Source organism: Homo sapiens, chromosome 12, assembly GCF_000001405.40.
Source record: "Homo sapiens chromosome 12, GRCh38.p14 Primary Assembly".
Lineage (NCBI taxonomy): Eukaryota > Metazoa > Chordata > Mammalia > Primates > Hominidae > Homo > Homo sapiens.
In genome coordinates, this window is record NC_000012.12 from 47,680,842 (window position 1) to 47,698,117 (window position 17,276).

The following is a 17,276-nucleotide window of genomic DNA, read 5'->3' on the forward strand; positions in this document are numbered from 1 at the left end:
TAAAAAAAAAAAATCAATCACTAACAGAAATTCTTCAGTTTGTAGGATGGCAGATAGGAAAAGATACAACTTGCTGAAACAAAGAAACTTCCTCTGCTTACTGGGATTCAAAAAAAAACAAAAAAACGAAACAAAAAAAAAAAAACAGGCTGAAATCATTTGGAACCAAGATGGCCAAGTGGAGTTTGCACAAAAACGAGTTTGCTGATGTCACAAACTGAATTTCCACCAAGTTCTACTAACTACCCCAAATTTGCACCTGCAATCCCATTAGTTAGCAAGAAGAGATAGCTACATATGCCCAAGAACTTTTCCCTTTCCTTCCACTAATTACCTGCTAATTCCAGTATCCACCTCCCTAAACCCTTTCTAATAAAATTACTGCCTTAAGGCCAGGACAAGGAGACAGATTTGGGTTTGATTCCTGTCTCTTTAGGAGTCAACTTTCAATATAAATAAAGCCTTTTCTCAAAAACCTGATGTCACAGTATTGGCTTCAAGCATATCACACAGTGAGTCCCTTTCGCTCAACAACACCGATTCCCTTCCTTTCCATTCTGGTCTTTTTATCGTTTTCCATTCTCATGTATAATTAAAATTTTTCATTAATATTGACTGGCAATTAGCCAGAATGTACTAAACAAAATTAGCCAGAATGCTACTAAACAAAAAGATAATCTGGTACATTGCGGAAGCTGCATTCCTCCAAATCTATTCGTGATCTAAACTGTGGAAAGAAAACATAATTCCCTAAGTTCAGTATCTTTGAACCATGGGTAAGCTACATGAATCTCTGCTTCTTTAACTTGGGCACTCATCAGGATGACTGAGTGCCAGCTGTTATAAAGTCTTACCTTGTTTTGCCTCATTTAGCTTTCCCAAAAATGTTCTTGCAGTTCCTCTTCTGGCAAAAGCTTTAGAATATGAGCCATCTAATAAAATGGCTTGTGTGCAGTCTTTTTCAGCTTCTTCATATCTATTGAACATGATAAAATTACTGACTGGAAAAAAGGCAGCTTATGGAAAAATGTCATATAAACTAAGTTTCTAATTTAAAAAGCTTGTATATAATTTCAATCACTAACTTCTAAATCTGTGTTTGAAGTGGAGAACTATTTTATAAATTTTTTATTCTCACCAAATCCTGGAATCATTTGGTGAGGAGGGAGAAGGTACCAGATTGAGGGAATGTTAGGAGAGTCTGCTGGAGCGATGAAATAATAATGCAAAAATATGACTAGGGCAGACAAAAGAATGCCACTGCTTCTCTGCCTACCTCTTCTCCAAGTCTCAATATGCACAGGTATTACATTAGAATTTTGACTGGCATTAGTTTTCTAATAAAACTTTATTAACATTTACCCACAGTAAACCTCCCATACTCATAGAAAAACAAAAAAATGAGAACTTGGTACGAATGTGATAGCATATCATCTAATACTTTGCATAAATTCTACTCAGCCATGCAACCAGCAATCAATTCAGACTTACAGACTTACTCATTACTGCTCTACAACAACAAGGTGCTTAAGAAGAGCTCAACCCCCTCCACCAAAAAAACCCAATAACAAAAAAACTTCAGACATTCCCATATATTAATAGGACATTAATGAATTATTGTTAATTTCTTAGGAGTGCTAATGGTTGTGGTTATGTATAAAATATCCTTTCTTTAGCAATAAACGTCATAATGTTTATGATTTGCTTTACAATAATTCGGGGGGAAAATGCTGAAACAAATATGACCAAAAAAAGTATGGCTTGTTAGAACTAGATGATGGACACATGGAGTTTATTATACTACTTTTGTATAAGTTTGAAAAGTTTCATAAGAATATTAAAAAAAAAAAAAACACTCCTGTAATTGCATTCTCCCCAAGGCCTAAATGGATGTCATCTTGCCCTCAAAACAAAATCTCATATGAAAAAAATCAGAATTTCGAATGAACTTAAACATCTCTGATTTATTTAACTCACTTTCCAGCAAGAGATAAAGAATATATCTGTGTTCATGCCCTTATCAATGTTATTTTCTACTTGCCTGATTATATCATTCAAGATACCTGCATGGCCCCCATACTTTTCAAGATAAAGTCCAATTCCTTTGGAGCGCAAAGTCAGGGGCCTGCCTGAGTATCTGGCCTTCTCTCTGCCACTGTCCCCTGCAATAACAGCCATAATACGAACCACTCACCCTTTCCAGGTTGAGGTACCATCAACCTGCCTACTCCCACGTCTTTGAACCTGCACTAGAACACTTGACCTGTTTCCTGTTTTTTCACCTCACTAACTCATACTACTCCTAAACAATTTCAAGATGCTTTCCAGGAATTCCCCTGCCTGGACTCAGTCTATGCCAGTATTCTTCCCACTCTGAACTCCTATAGCACGTGTCCTTCATAGCGCTATCTTAGCGTATTTTCACAAATATTGGTCTCCTTTTCTGTCACTCCCTGCAAATTTCGGGTTTCTTAAAAACAACTATACATTTAATATTTGTATACTTAATACCTTCCACAGTGCCTCACAGAACACCTGATACATTTTAGCACAATAAATATTTGCTGAATAAGTAAATCAAAAAATTTCCAACACCCAAATTCAAAGAAAATTTAGAATATAAATGTTTAGGAAATCATTTTAATTGTATATTTAATTGCATATTTAATTGCATGTTCTACTGTACAGCTGAAGAAAACCCAACAATTTTTCTAAAAGTCTGAAGTTGCCACAGAGGTAGACGATTATTCTTTGAAAATAGACTCACCTAAGTCCTTTAAAATTATTACACGTCTCCTGTGCACTCCATTTGTAAAGTGAATTTAGAAAAATCCAATCAACAAACATCTTTTAGGTGGTTGGAGAAAAAGACAAACTAATCAAAAATAGAATAAAAATGGTGAGTGCGAAAAACTATCATCTCTGCCTAGCTCCTTAGCCCTGATTCCTTCTGATTTTCAGTCAGGTCCACTTGCCCTAGGTCTACTCTGGCTCTAGTGTAAATGCCGCCCCTAATCACCATTAAGTGAACCACCCTCTACTAAATCAAGTCTTAGTCTGGTTCCAGTTCCAGCAACCAAGATTCTACCTTATTTTTGTGACCAACTCTCAACCCTGTTTCCCAAATCTAATATCTAATACTACTGGGTTATTTTCTTCTTATCCTATCTCTAAATCTATGCTTTACTCCCTCTAAGAATAGGACTCAGATTTGTTCTTGGTCAGTCCTCTTCAAGGACTACAATGTTGGCCCAAACTTCTGTCCTTATTTCTGATTATCTTCTTATTTCTTCAGCCTTTCTGAAGCTAACCATCTACCAGCCTACATTCCACAATTTGCCAGCTCACAGGCACTCCATTATTGTAACTCAAGGATGTCTTGCTCATCTCCCAATGCAAACTACTAATTTAGACTATCACCTCCAGAAAGCACATTCTCTAGGAATCCCGGTTGGCCTAACTAGGTGAATTTCTTCTTACTCCCTACTGCTACCCCGCACACTGGTAGGTAAGACTGACTATACTGCTGGTTCTAATTAGCTCTAATTTGACACAGTTTATAGAACCTCAAGCTATAGGATGGTTACCTAAACTAGGAGTAGTCTAAGCTTGAAATGTTGCTTTTTTATGTTCCTCACATAGTCCGTAATACATAACAACAGTCTCCATGTACAGAAAAAAATTCTGATATTAACTGTGAATCTAAAAGATACACTAGGAAAAGATACAAGTAAGAGTCATAAGTTCTTTTAATTTAAAATATACTCTGCTAACTTGGTATAATATATTCCACTAATACGATTATAAACTAAAGAAATAAAACTGATACAATAAATTAGATATCTTATAAATGCATATATAATCTCTCACCTGTAAGAAGGCATTACTCTTAGCATTAGTCAAACCAACGAACTCAGGCTTTACAATTTTTAAACCAATGCACAATTCTTCGATAGCAAAAATCAAAATTTTCATAAGTGAGCAAGAGATGCAATGATCTTCACTCTGACTAGTCAACAAAAGAATCTATCTCCAGTGATATCTATTACTTTAAATGAGGTTAAATATATAATCAGAATTTATTTCTATGACAGGAGCTCCTAACCTGAGATTGTCTGAGGGATGTGGAAACTTGTTTAGGAAAAAAACTGTATCACTGTTTTCACTAAACTTCAAATAAAATTTAGCTATCTTTCAAATACAAATGCAGACAATAGTATCTATCACTTTGTCACCAATAAAAATCAGATATTTTGGCCGGGCGCGGTGGCTCCTGCCTGTAATCCCAGCACTCTGGGAGGCCGAGACGGGCAGATCACCTGAGGTCAGGAGTTTGAGACCAGCCTGGCCAACATGGCAAAACCCCATCTCTACTAAAAATACAAAAATTAGCTAGGTGTCATGGCGCATGCCTGTAGACCCAGCAACTTGGGAGGTTGAGGCAGGAGAATTGCTTGAACCTGGGAGGTGGAGGTTGCAGTGAGCCAAAATTACACCACTGCACTCCAGCCTGGGTGACAGAGGGGGACTCTGTCTCAAAAAAAAAAAAAAAATCAGATATTTCCATATCACATTATAACGGTTACTGGTATCTCAAAATATTGCTTATGCTCACCACTATTCAGAATTACAGTAAAAATTTAACCTGTTGCTTATTTGCATGTGATTGCAGTGTCTGGTTTATAGATACTCTTGTGACAAGGCTGGCAACTGTTGGGCAACTCTGCCCTAGTAGTTATTCAGAAGACAAAGAGCTAAGGCATGTGTTATCACATTGGAAATCTAATCATCTACGTTGCTTCAGGTATTCCCTATCCACACTTGCTTGTTGATCAGTACGTGGAAGATGTGTCGAGGATCATCCCAAAATTTGGTGTCCTTACTGAAACCTTACAATCATGTCTTTAAAATTTTTTTAACATTAACTTGTCTGTATTTTAAATGTAGTTTCAAATACAGTACAATCACATGCAAATAAGCAGCAGGTTAAATTTGTACTGTAATTCTGAATATTGGTGAGCATAAAATACAGCACTTGCCTGTATTTTAAATGTAATTTCTCATTTTGAGGTGTGTTAATAAAAAATCAAATATACTACTATATCACAATTTTTAATATTTTCAAAACTATATTTTGATATAATTGGTTTCCTTTGTAATCCTAGTTGTACAGTTAAGCATTTAAAAATATCCTGAGAAGCGTTCAACATACAGCTAAAGGGGAATTCATGGCACTGAAGAAGTTTCGAATTCCTATTTATACTATTTACAGGCTTTTTAAAATTCTGGCATTAGTCTGTAAAGTATAACAAGAGAAACAAAGTCTAAGTCTAAGTTTCTGCCATCGGATATAATTCTACTGATTGTCCAACTTGGGCACAACCAGAAAAAGCTGGTTAATATAGGATCAAATGTTTGTTACATATGTTATTAATCAGCAGTTTCAATGACAGCAGTTCTCTTTTGTTATACATGTATGTATATAAAACATTTCCAGATAAGACTTTGCCCAAGGGGCTCTGAAGTGAAAAATAATTTTTAATCAAGATCCAGAATACTATACATAAAGCGACTAGAGAAAAACTGGTAAACTGTGTAATGCCAGACTTAAAAGCGGGAAAATATTAACAAGAACATCTACTGAATACACACCTTGTGCCTGGAACTATGTATACCACAGGTACATAAACACACACATACACATACACACACACACACACACACACACACACACACTACTTTTCCCCTCTCATTTCACTTTAATTTAAATGCTCAAAAATACATAAATTAAATTTTAACTTACTTAAATTTACCATAAATTGGCATGTGAGCTAACCTAACACGCCATAATTGGCATGTTAGGTAACTTATGGTAAAAATTTACCAATTTATTGTAAATTTTTATCCTGAACAGCACTAAAATGTAACCAATACTTACTTCTGAATCTTCAGATAGGCCATAGCTCTGTTAGCTGGAAGAAGGGCATTAGCACCATCTGCTGCTATCCCTCGAGTATAGCATTCAATTGCTCTTTCATATTTCCCCTCTTTGAAAAATCCATTCCCCTGTTATTTTGTAGAGAGATATGGAGAATAAAAAAAAAATTTCAAAAAAAATAAATGAATTCAAATCTTATGAAACACTGCAAGGATATTCACCAACAGTATTTCAAGAAAGAATATTGTTAAAAATCTGGCCCATGAGACACGTTTTAAAATCTGTTGGTTTGGGTTGTTTCTTTTTTAATGGCATTATTCTCTTTTCAGTACTAAAAAGGAAAAACATGTATACTACATTACTTTGCAGCATTCACTATTATTCCATTAATTACATATTACGCAAAGCTTAAATTTAAAAACCTATTTTAACAAAGGTCCAAATAATATACTGTCTTAAGTTACATTAGAAGCTGTACAAAAGGACTTCATAACTCAAATAAATTTTGTGAAAGAATACAGTACCAGAATTATAAAGCCCACTCTTCAATAACTTTAATATGCCCAAATATAAGATAAATTCAGCTGTATTGGAATTTGTATACCTGATTTCACTATAACATTTACTTATAATCAGTCAAATATCACAATCAATAATCATTTCATAAATATTTATTAGGAATCCTCTGTGGGTCCAGGAAAGGCAATAAATAAACTAAACCTCAACTCATGATTAGTAGAGGAATTTCAATCAGAAACAGTCCAGTGTGAATTAATGAAAAAAGTACATTATAAGAATGGATTGTAATTAACTTCTATGTTAAATTTATAACTATGTATATGTAAATATATAAAACATTCAAAAGTAGTTTCCTAAACTTAAGTGTTTCTATAGTTATTTTTTTAATTTATATATAAAGTCATCAATTACCCAAATTTTGAATTAGTAGGTCCCAGAGGCTTTAGTGCATTTAATTCCCAATTCCTACTCAAGCAAAACTTTAATATTAGAGAAGAAAGAAATTAACTGATATACAAGAAATAAATCAACACTCAGCAAAACATATACATTGTACGTTGGAATAGCTTTGGATTACCCGATCTTTCTCTGAAATGGCCTGCTGCTTATTCTGTTGTGCTTCAATTTGCTTTCGCTCTCCTTCTGTTGACTTAATCACTATGTCAGCTTCCTTTGGATATGAGTTTTCTTTGGATGCTAAAGCCTAGGAGACATAGCAGTCAGCTAAAATAAAACAAAGTAATGCAAGATGCATATATATTTGACCTTAAAACATAAATACCTCAAATATATTAGAATTTCTGCCACATTTTAAATAATCAAAATAACATTTTCTGCTCTAATTCAAAATCTTTCTACTTATTAAAGTAAAAAGTAAAATAAGCATATAATAAATTTAATGTGCTTCTCATTTCAATTAAAATTAGTATCAAACGCCACATACTGCATGTTTTGACTTATAAGTGGGAGGTAAACATTGGGTACACATGGACATAAACAGAAACAACAGACACTATAGACTACCTGTTGGGGAGAGAAACATTGGGGTGGGGAGGGGAGGGGATGAAAAACTACCTATTGGGTACTATGCTCACTATCTAGGTGGCGGAATCATTCATACCCCAAACCTCAGTATCATACAATATGCCCATGTAAAAAGCCTGCACATGTACCCTTTGAATCTAAAATACAAGTTGAATTATTTTAAATAAATAAATAAGTAGCATCCATTAAAAGTAGTTGCTCATTTATTCAACAAATATTTATTGAATTTCTATACGGGCCAGACACTGTTTTAGGAGCTGTTTTCAGACATAACAGTTCATTACAACTACATCACCAAACTTCTCAAATTCAATATTCACAGTCATTATTTGACCTAAGGCAAAATTTTAAACATATGTAATACAGTTCACAACTATAATCAAGTTAACATATTTACCAGATCTTATGTGCAATAGTAGTGGTAATATTTAAAAGCACACTTTCCCCAATCACTGTCACTTTTCTCTCAATGTTTCAGTCAGTGCATAAGCCAAAAAGGAAGAAAATCAGTGGGATAAAAAAATAATAATTCTGTCATCTGAGAAAGAGTAAAGCAGCAGTAGTTCTTAAAGATCTCAGGCAACTTCTAGAACAATCAAGGGTCTTTAAATACCATTACACTCCCTCTAGCATGCAAATTCATTTAGTAAAACTCTATAGTACAAAGAATTAAAATTAGAAAATCTCAATATTAAGAAATCTATAGTACAAAATCTATGCAAAAAGCTTTACTTCTTCAAATAAAGGTCATAATACACTTAATTTAAATAACTATAGTTTACCTGACTGATTTTCCTGAGTTCATTTGTTGCTTCAAAGTTATTTGGTTCTAGTTCTAATACTCTTTCATAATCTAAGTAAAAGAGAAGATAAAAAAAATTTTTAAAGATAGGTAATATTTTAAAACATGTACAAAACAATCTTTTGTTGCCTGTGACAATCAGGCAACTGTCCTACAGCAAAATAAAGGAGAAACAAAGAAATACTATCATTAGGCCACTGAACTTTCTTTTTTTGAGACAGATTCTCACTCTGTTGCCCAGGCTGAGTGCAGTGGCGCAATCTTGGCTCACTGCAACCTCCAGTTCCCAGGTTCCAGTGATTCTGTACCTCAGCCTCCTGAGTAGCTGGGACTACAAGCACACGCCAACAAGTTCAGCTAATTTTTGTATTTTTAGTAGAGACAGGTTTTCTCCTCATTGGGCAGGTTAGTCTCAAACTCCTGGCCTCAAGTAGTCTTCCCACCTTGGCCTCCCAGAGTGCTAGGACTACAGGCGTAAGCCACTGTGCAGAGCCAAGCCACTGAACTTTCTTCTTCTCCCCCCAGGGCAGACAAAATCCTATGACAAACCATCTTCCACCAGCCCCAGGAAGGATACCTGCTATCATAAGTTGTATATCATAAAACCAAGAAGCAGGCCGGGCGCAGTGGCTCACTCCTGTAATCCCAGCACTTTGGGAGGCCGAGGTGGGCAGATCACCTGAAGTCAGGAGTCAAGACCAGCCTGGCCAACATGGCAAAACCCTGTCTCTACTAAAATTACAAAAATTAGCCAGGCATGGTGGTGGGCACCTGTAATCCCGGATACTTGGGAGGCTGAGGCAGAGAAAATCATTTGAACCCGGGAGGCGGAGGTTGCTGTGAGCAGAGATCACACCATTGCACTCCAGCCTGGGTGAAAAAGCAAGACTCTGTCTCAAAAAAAAAAAAAAGAAAAAAAAAAACCTAAGCAGCAGCAAAATCCAATTAAATATCAGCTTTATTCAGATTTTGTGATTTGTAATACACAAACCTATTTTATGAAATAATAGAAGGCTTAGAATTTATAAGTGAACAAAAATGTGTTATGAGCTTTAAACACACTACCTCTTGCCTCACTAAAGCCAACAAGACATATTAATGCCTATTTTACAGATGAGAAACTGAAAATCAGAGGAGATATTGGTCACATAGTTAGTACTTAGTAACATGAGAATTTGAACCAAATTCTGATTGGTGGCAAATAATGCATTCTTTCTTAAAAACATCAAGATATCATTTCAGTTGCAAAAATGACCTTTGTTCAAATACAGAAAGCTCTCTGAAGGTAGTAACTGTGATTACTCAGTATTCTCCATATAGCATCTGTGAGATAACACTGTTAAAGAATTCTTTAGAGAGTGACTAGAAAATACCTTTTTTGGCCTCTTCTAATTTTTGCAAAGCAAATCGAGCAGCACCTCGTCTGGAATAAGCCTTTGTATAACTTCTATTCAAGGCAACTGCTAAATTACAATCAGACTCAGCAACAGCAAATCTGCAATTTAAAAACATTAAAATAAATAAAGTTAATAAAACTAATTTACTAAACCAAAACTTCAAAATTTGTTTCTGAAATCCTTGAAAAGAGAATTTACTTACCCACTGAAGGCATTTTTCCCACCTGCTTTCAGTTAATTAAGCATAATAAAAGCAATACTGCCATTGCTCAAAGATATTGTGGGTTTGATTCTAGACCACCACAAGAAAGTAAATGTCACAATAAAGCTAGTCACACAAATTTTTTGGTTTTCCAGTGCATACAAAAGTTTTATTTATACTGTAATCTAATAAGTGTGCAAAAGCTTTATGTCTAAATAACAATGTATATACCTTAATTAAAAAACTTTATTGCTAAAAAATGCTAATAAAATCTGAGTCTTTAGTGAATATTTATCTTTGTGCTGTTGGACGATCTTGCCTTGATGTTGATGGCTGCTGACCGATCACGGTGGTGGTGGTAGCATGTGATGCTATTTGATAGTATTTACATAACAGAACTTCTTTCAATATTGGAGTCAATCCTCTCAAACTCTGCCACTTTATCAACTAAGTTTATATAATGTTCTAAATCTTCAGTTGTCATTTCAAAAACGTTCACGGCACCTTCACCAAGAATAAATTCTATCTCAAGAAACCACTTTCTTTGCTCATCCATAAGAATCAACTGACCATCCATTCAAGTTTGAATACAAGATTGCAGCAATTCGGTGACATCTTCCTCCGCTAAAATCTTGAACCCCTCAAAGTCATCCATAAGAGTTGAAATCAACTTCTTCCAAACTCCTGTTAACACTGATATTTTGACCTCCTCCCATGAATTATGGACATTCTTAATGGCATCTAAAATAGTTAATCCTTTCCAGGTTTCAATCTACTTTGTCCAGATCCACTAGAGGAATCACGATCTATGACAGCTATAGCCTGTGAAATGTATTTCTTAAATAACAAGAATTGAAATTGAAAATGACTCTTTGATCCATGGGCTGCAGAATGGATATTGTGTTAGGAGGCATGAAAACAACATTCATGTCCTTGTACATCTCCATCAGAGATCTTGGGTGAGTAGGTGCGCTGTCAGTACACTACTTTGAAATAAATCCTTTTTTTTTTCTTTTTTTTTGAGACAGAGTCTTGCTCTGTCGCCCAGGCTGGAGTGCAGTGGCACGATCTGGCTCACTGCAACCTCTGCCTCCCGGGTTCACGCCATTCTCCTGCCTCAGCCTCCCAAGTAGCTGGGACTACAGGTGCCCGCCACCACGCCTGGCTAATTTTTTGTATTTTTAGTAGAGACAGGGTTTCACCGTGTTTGCCAGGATGGTCTCGATCTCCTGACCTTGTGATCTGCCCGCCTCGGCCTCCCACAAATCTTTTTTTCTAAGCAGTAGGTCTCAACAGTTGGCTTAAAATGTTCAGTAAACCAGTTCATAAATAGATGTCATCCAGACTTTGTTGTTTTACTTATAGAGCACAGGCAGAGTAGATTTAGCATAATTCCTAAGGGCCCTAGGACTTTTGGAATGGTAAATGAACACTATCTTCAACTTAAAGTCACCAGCTGCATTAGCCCCTAACAAGAGAGAGAATCAGACTGTCCTTTGAAGCCAGGCATTCTCTCTAGCTGTGAACGCCCTAGATGGCACTGTCTTCTAACAGAAGGCTGTTTAGTCAACACTGAAAATGTGTGTGTTGTTTAACACAGTAACCTTCATCAATTACCTTAGCTAGATCTTCTGGATAACTTTCTGCAGGTTCTCCGTCAGCACCTGCTGCTTCACCTTCCACTTTTATGTTATGGAGACAGCTTCTTTCCTTAAACCTCATGAACCAACTTCTGCTAGCTTTCAACTTTTCTTCTGCAGCTTTCTCACCTCTCTCAACCTTCACTAAATTGAAGAGCATTAGAGCCTTGCACTGGATTAGACTTTGGCTCAGGGGAATGTTGTGGCTGGTTTGATCTTCTATACAGACCAATAAAACCTTCTCCCCATCAACAATAAGCTTCTTTTGCTTTTAATTATTTGTGTTCATTGGAGTAGCCCTTTTAATTTCCTCAAGAACTTTTCCTTTGCATTCACATCTTGGCTAACTGGCACAAGAGGCCTAGCTTTCAGTCAGTCTTGGCTTTCGACATGCCGTCCTCACTAAGTTTAATCATTTCCAGCTTCCAATTTAAAGTAAGAGATCTGCAAGTCTTCCTTTCACTTGAATACTTATATGCCACTGTAGGGTTTTGTTTGTTTGTTTGTTTGCTTTGAGACAGAGCGTCACTCTCTCGCCCCGGCTGGAGTGCAGCGGCATGATCTCAACTCACTGCAACCTCTGCCTCCTGGGCTCAAGTGATTTTCCTGCCTCACCCTCCCAAGTAGCTGGGATTATAGGCATGCGCCACCACACCTGGCTAATTGTTTGTATTTTTAGTAGAGACAGGGTTTCACCATGTTGGCCAGGCTGGTCTCCAACTCCTGACCTCAAGTGATCCGCCCGCCTCAGCCTCCCAAATTGCTGGGATTACAGGTGTGAGCCACCATGCCTGGCCTCACTGTACGGTTATTAACTGGCCTAATTTCAATACTGTTGTGTCTCAGGGAATAGGGAAGCCCAAGGAGAAGGAGAGAGATGGGGGGTCGGGGGTAGCTGGTCAATGAAGCAGACAGAATGCACAACAACATATGGGTGTGCTTGATGGCTCCCCAAAACAATTACAATAGAAACATCAAAGATCCCTGATCAGAGATCACCATAACAGATACAATTATAATAAATCTGAAATACTGCAACAATTACCAAAACGTGACATAGAGACACAAAGTAAACACATGCTGTTGGACAAATGGCACCAATAGAGTTGCTTGACTTGCCTGATATAAGGTTGCCACAAACTTTCGTTTTGTAAAAACAGTATCTGTGGACGCAATAAAGCGACACACAACAAAACAAGGTATGCCTATAATTCCTAATGGTGAAACATTAGTAGCATTCCCTTTAATGAGAGAAACAAGAATGCCCATTATCACTGCTTTTTCTTGGTATTACATACAGGTCTTTACCAATGCAGTTCCACAAGAAAGAAACACAAGGACTAGAAACAAAGAAAAAGGCCTGAAATTATTCTCAAATGATAAGATGGTCCAAAAAGAAAACTCAAAACAATCTAGAGACATTGCTGGAAGTATTACAAGTTTAGTAAGGTGACTACGAGAGACCAACAAGAGACAAACAAACAAAACATCTAACAAAGACCTACCAAACACAGATGCAAAAAATTGTAAGACTGTTTTCAAAGACATTAATGACAATCTAAGTGGAGATATTTCACATTCATCTATAATAAAGTACAAAAACATACAATATGATTCTCTCCAGACTGATTTATAAATCTAATGCAATTCTAATCAAAATCCCAACAGGATATTTTAACGAATTTGGGAAGATGATTCTAAAAGTTATATTGATGAGTAAAAGTCCAAGAATACCCAAGACATTCCTGAATAATAAAAGGTAGGAGAATATGCAGTACACTAAATATTAAGACTTACAATTACAATGCTATAATAATTAAAGATAGTGTGGAATGGATGTAAGGACAGGCAACAGACCAGTGTAAAGAACAGAGATGAGAAAGTGATCTCGGCAAACATGACATATGACAATAGTAGCACGGCAGATCCACGGGGGAAAGTAGGGCTATTCCAAAAATAGAGCTGGAAAAACCTTCAGCATATGTGAAAACACCTAAATGTGAAAAGTAAATCTTAAAAATGTTTAGAAGAAATTAGAGGAGACTATTAGGAACTCAAGCAGCAAACTATTTTTTTGAACAAATCATTTTATAAAGTCCTAATCTTTTTAAAAAATCAAGAAGTTGAAATATATTAAAATTGAATGTTTCTATTCATTAAAATTCCATAAAGAAGATAAGCTACAAATTGAGAGAAGATAGTTATTATGGAAAAGACCAAAAGATTAGTTATCCAGAATAAAGAACTCTCAAAATAAATCAATAGGAAAAGCCCTAAAAAAAAAAATGGCCAAACACCAAATAGGCATTTCACAGGGAAAAAAAAGAAAAAAACAAAAATGGAAAATATATAAGATGCTTAACCTTACTAATAGTTGAGAAATGAAAACCTTACTAATAGCTGAGAAATGCAAAATGTCATTTCAAAGACACAATGAAATGCCATTTTACACCCACCAGATTGAAAACAATTAAGAAGCCCAATTATATCAATGTTGGTAAGGGTAGGAAATAGGTATTATTATACACTGCTAATGAGAATGTAAACTCATCCATTTACCTTTGTAACAACTGTGTAACAACAAACTACCTTTGCCATCATCCTGTGAAGCTGAACATCTACACATTTTATGACCCAACACCAAGAAACATGTACAAAAATGTTCATAGCATTGCTGAAATAAGGAAAGAAAGGACAGAAGGTGGGCAATAGAAAGAAAGAGGGACAGAAGGAGGGAAGAAAGAGTGGGAGGGAGAGAGAAAAAGAAAGGAAGAAAGGAACGAACCAACAATCCAGCAACACAAGAATAGACACATAATGGTATATTTCTAAAAAGAAATTATCCTATATAACAGTTACAATGAGAGCTCTAGAGCTATAAGCATCAAAACAAGAATGAATCATAAAAATATAATAAATAGGTGAGCCACAGAAAACTACACACAGTATGATATACTTTTAAGCTCAAAAATAAGCAAGATTATACTATATATTATTTAGGAACATATACATATATAATAAACCTTTTTTAAATCAAAAGGATGACAAATATATAATTCAAGATAGTGGTTAACTGGGAGGGAGGCAAGGGACAGGATACAGAAAGGAGCATCAAGGTAACTTCAAAAATAATGGTAATGTTCTGGTTCTTAAGTTGAGAGGGGTGCTTTATAGGCTTATTTTAAACTATTCTCTGTAATTTATGTATATGCTACATATATTGCAGATATCGAATATTATAAAATGTAAATATTCCCCTAATTTTTAGAGATTAATATCATGAGTTTCAAAGACATAAAAATGTTAAATAGTAAAAATTCAGATACCAATAAAATTTGTATTTCCAAATAATTAAAACAGTAAGAATGTCTTCCTTGATGGTGTTTATCTTTTTAAAAAACCCCTATGATAGGTTGGTTACCTGCATGTGATAAGACAATACCACATTTATATTCTTCCACATTATTTACTTTAAAAGTCAGTATGACTTAAAGACAAACAAATGTTGAAACATATTTTAAGTTTTCCATAATAAATGTTCTCTAGATTAAATAGTGGATAAATGGTTTTTCAAAATGACAGGATATTAATTTCTAAAAATATCCAACTAACTTTTTTAGCTTTGTGAATTAGAAAAGAACACTATTACTAAATCTTTAGAGGAATACCTCAGTAAAGTGAGCTATGGGAACAAGGTTTTAGCACCAGATGTTTAAAATGGCTTAAACAAAATAATTCAATAAAAAGGAGTGAGCTATAAGAATTTACAGTTGAAAAGAAAATGCAATACATTTTCAATCTGTCCTCCACACTTTATTCCACACTTTTTTTTAATAAGTCTCCATATATACATAAGACATTCACATTCACACACGTCACAGAAAGTCCTTACTTTTTCAGTCTAAAATATGCTGACGCTCTGTTCGTTGGCAACACGGGATTATATGGATCGGCATCCATGCCTTTTGTGTAGCAGTCAATTGCTTCATCATATTTTCCTTGTTTGAAGTATTTATTGCCCTGAAAGAAAATTATATAAAATGATCTTTTTTACAAATTCTGAAATTCACTACAGTTGACCCTTGAACGACCCAGGTTTGAAGTGCATGGGTCCACTTAAATGTAGATTTTTTTCAATAGAAGTCTACACCAAGTGTGCCTGCCTCCCCTTCCACCTTTTCCACCTCTTCTGCCTCTGCCACCCGAGAGAGCAAGACCAACTCCTCCCCTTCCCCCTCCTCAGCCTACTCAATATGAAGATGACAAAGATGAAGACTTTAGATCCACTTCTACACAGTGAAATATATTTATATAAATAAATACACATTCTCTTCCTTAAAATGTTCTAATAACATTTTCTTTTCTCTAGCTTACTTTTTTGTAAGAATACAGTATATAATACATATAACGCATAAAATTTGTGCTAATCAACTATTTGTATTATCCATACTGCTTCCGGTCAACAGTAAGCTATTAGTAGTTAAGTTTTTGGGGAGTCAAAAGTTATATGCAGATTTTTTACTGCATGAGGCACTGACCCCACACTGTTCAAGGGTAACTGTACATGGTCACTGTATGGGTACAACCCAAGAGCCCAGGCAGAAAAATGAGTAAAATACCCAGCATTATACTCCTTATTGACAATGCCAACCTACAGAAATGTAACCAAAAAAAAGCATCAAGAGTTTAATCTGAAAAGAGTTCCACCTTTGTGAAAGTAATATAGCTGGTTTTATAATAATGAGGCATCCCTCAGGGAGATACTGAACATTCCAAAAAGTAACCAAAGATAGCCTTTGATACCCGGGAGTGGAATATAATATTTACGCCAAGAATCACACACTAATTTCAAGTTACTTCAATCTACTACTAAAAACACTGGACAACTCCAGGTACAGTCCAAGCATTTTACATAGAATAGTTCACTTACTACCCATAAGAACCCGTTGAGGTTGGTAATATTATCATTTTGCAGATGAGAAAACTGAAGTTCAGAAGTTTAAAGAACTTATCAGAGATTTGAACCCAGGTAATCTGGCTCCAGAGCATGTACTCCTAACCACCATGTTACAATGCCTCCAGAGAGGGATGTAGCCAAAAACAACATAAAGTTTAAACACGTACTAAAACTATGCTCAAGAAACTTTACGATCCACATGATTTTCAACATCTCCTGCTTACATGAAAAAAAACAAAACCTAACTAATTAGTACCTTTTCTTTTAAAACAAGAGCCTTTTGTGAATCTACATGAATCCCATCTTCTTCCGACTCTGATTCTTGAGACAGAGACTCATGGGTACTATCGTCTTTGTCAAGCTCATCAAGGATACGGTCCTAAAATCAAAAGACGGAAAACAGGGGTCATAATTATATGATTAGGAAAAAAAAGAAAAAAAGACATACTAAAAAAATACACTCAAATGAATGTAAATTGTTACAATCTAAGGACCTACAGCCTTACAAAGCAACCCAAATCTCTCATTGTTAAGATTATATCCAGAGAAAAAGATGCCTTAGCTTAGAAAACCAAGATCAAAACCAAAAATCTGACTTTGAACTCATAAAGCTAAGTCAACAGATTGTACAAATCACCCCTAAATCACGAACTATTAGCAGTTAGGTCTTATGGCTTAAAGGAAGTTTGCAAATAGCCCTAAACTAATATAATTAGCACCCAGTAGCAGAAAAAGTTTAAAAAAAAATTTTTTTCTTCCTTATTTTAAAACAAAAAA

At 35.4% G+C, this 17,276-nt stretch overlaps 1 protein-coding gene across 3 annotated transcripts in view; it reads right to left on the reverse strand.

Moving 5' to 3' along the window:
- The window catches only part of RPAP3 (RNA polymerase II associated protein 3), a 44,782-nt gene that overhangs the window by 19,593 nt on the left and 7,913 nt on the right, over positions 1-17,276 (reverse strand). For all 3 annotated transcript variants that reach the window (NM_001146076.2, NM_001146075.2, NM_024604.3), the window contains 7 exons: positions 16,756-16,878; positions 15,435-15,562; positions 9,677-9,798; positions 8,284-8,354; positions 7,035-7,160; positions 5,939-6,066; positions 855-976 (listed from right to left, as the gene is read on the reverse strand). In NM_001146076.2, coding sequence (NP_001139548.1) covers positions 855-976; positions 5,939-6,066; positions 7,035-7,160; positions 8,284-8,354; positions 9,677-9,798; positions 15,435-15,502 — 637 coding nt within the window. In that variant the 5' untranslated portion in view covers positions 15,503-15,562; positions 16,756-16,878. The remainder of the gene's footprint in view (positions 1-854; positions 977-5,938; positions 6,067-7,034; positions 7,161-8,283; positions 8,355-9,676; positions 9,799-15,434; positions 15,563-16,755; positions 16,879-17,276) is intronic.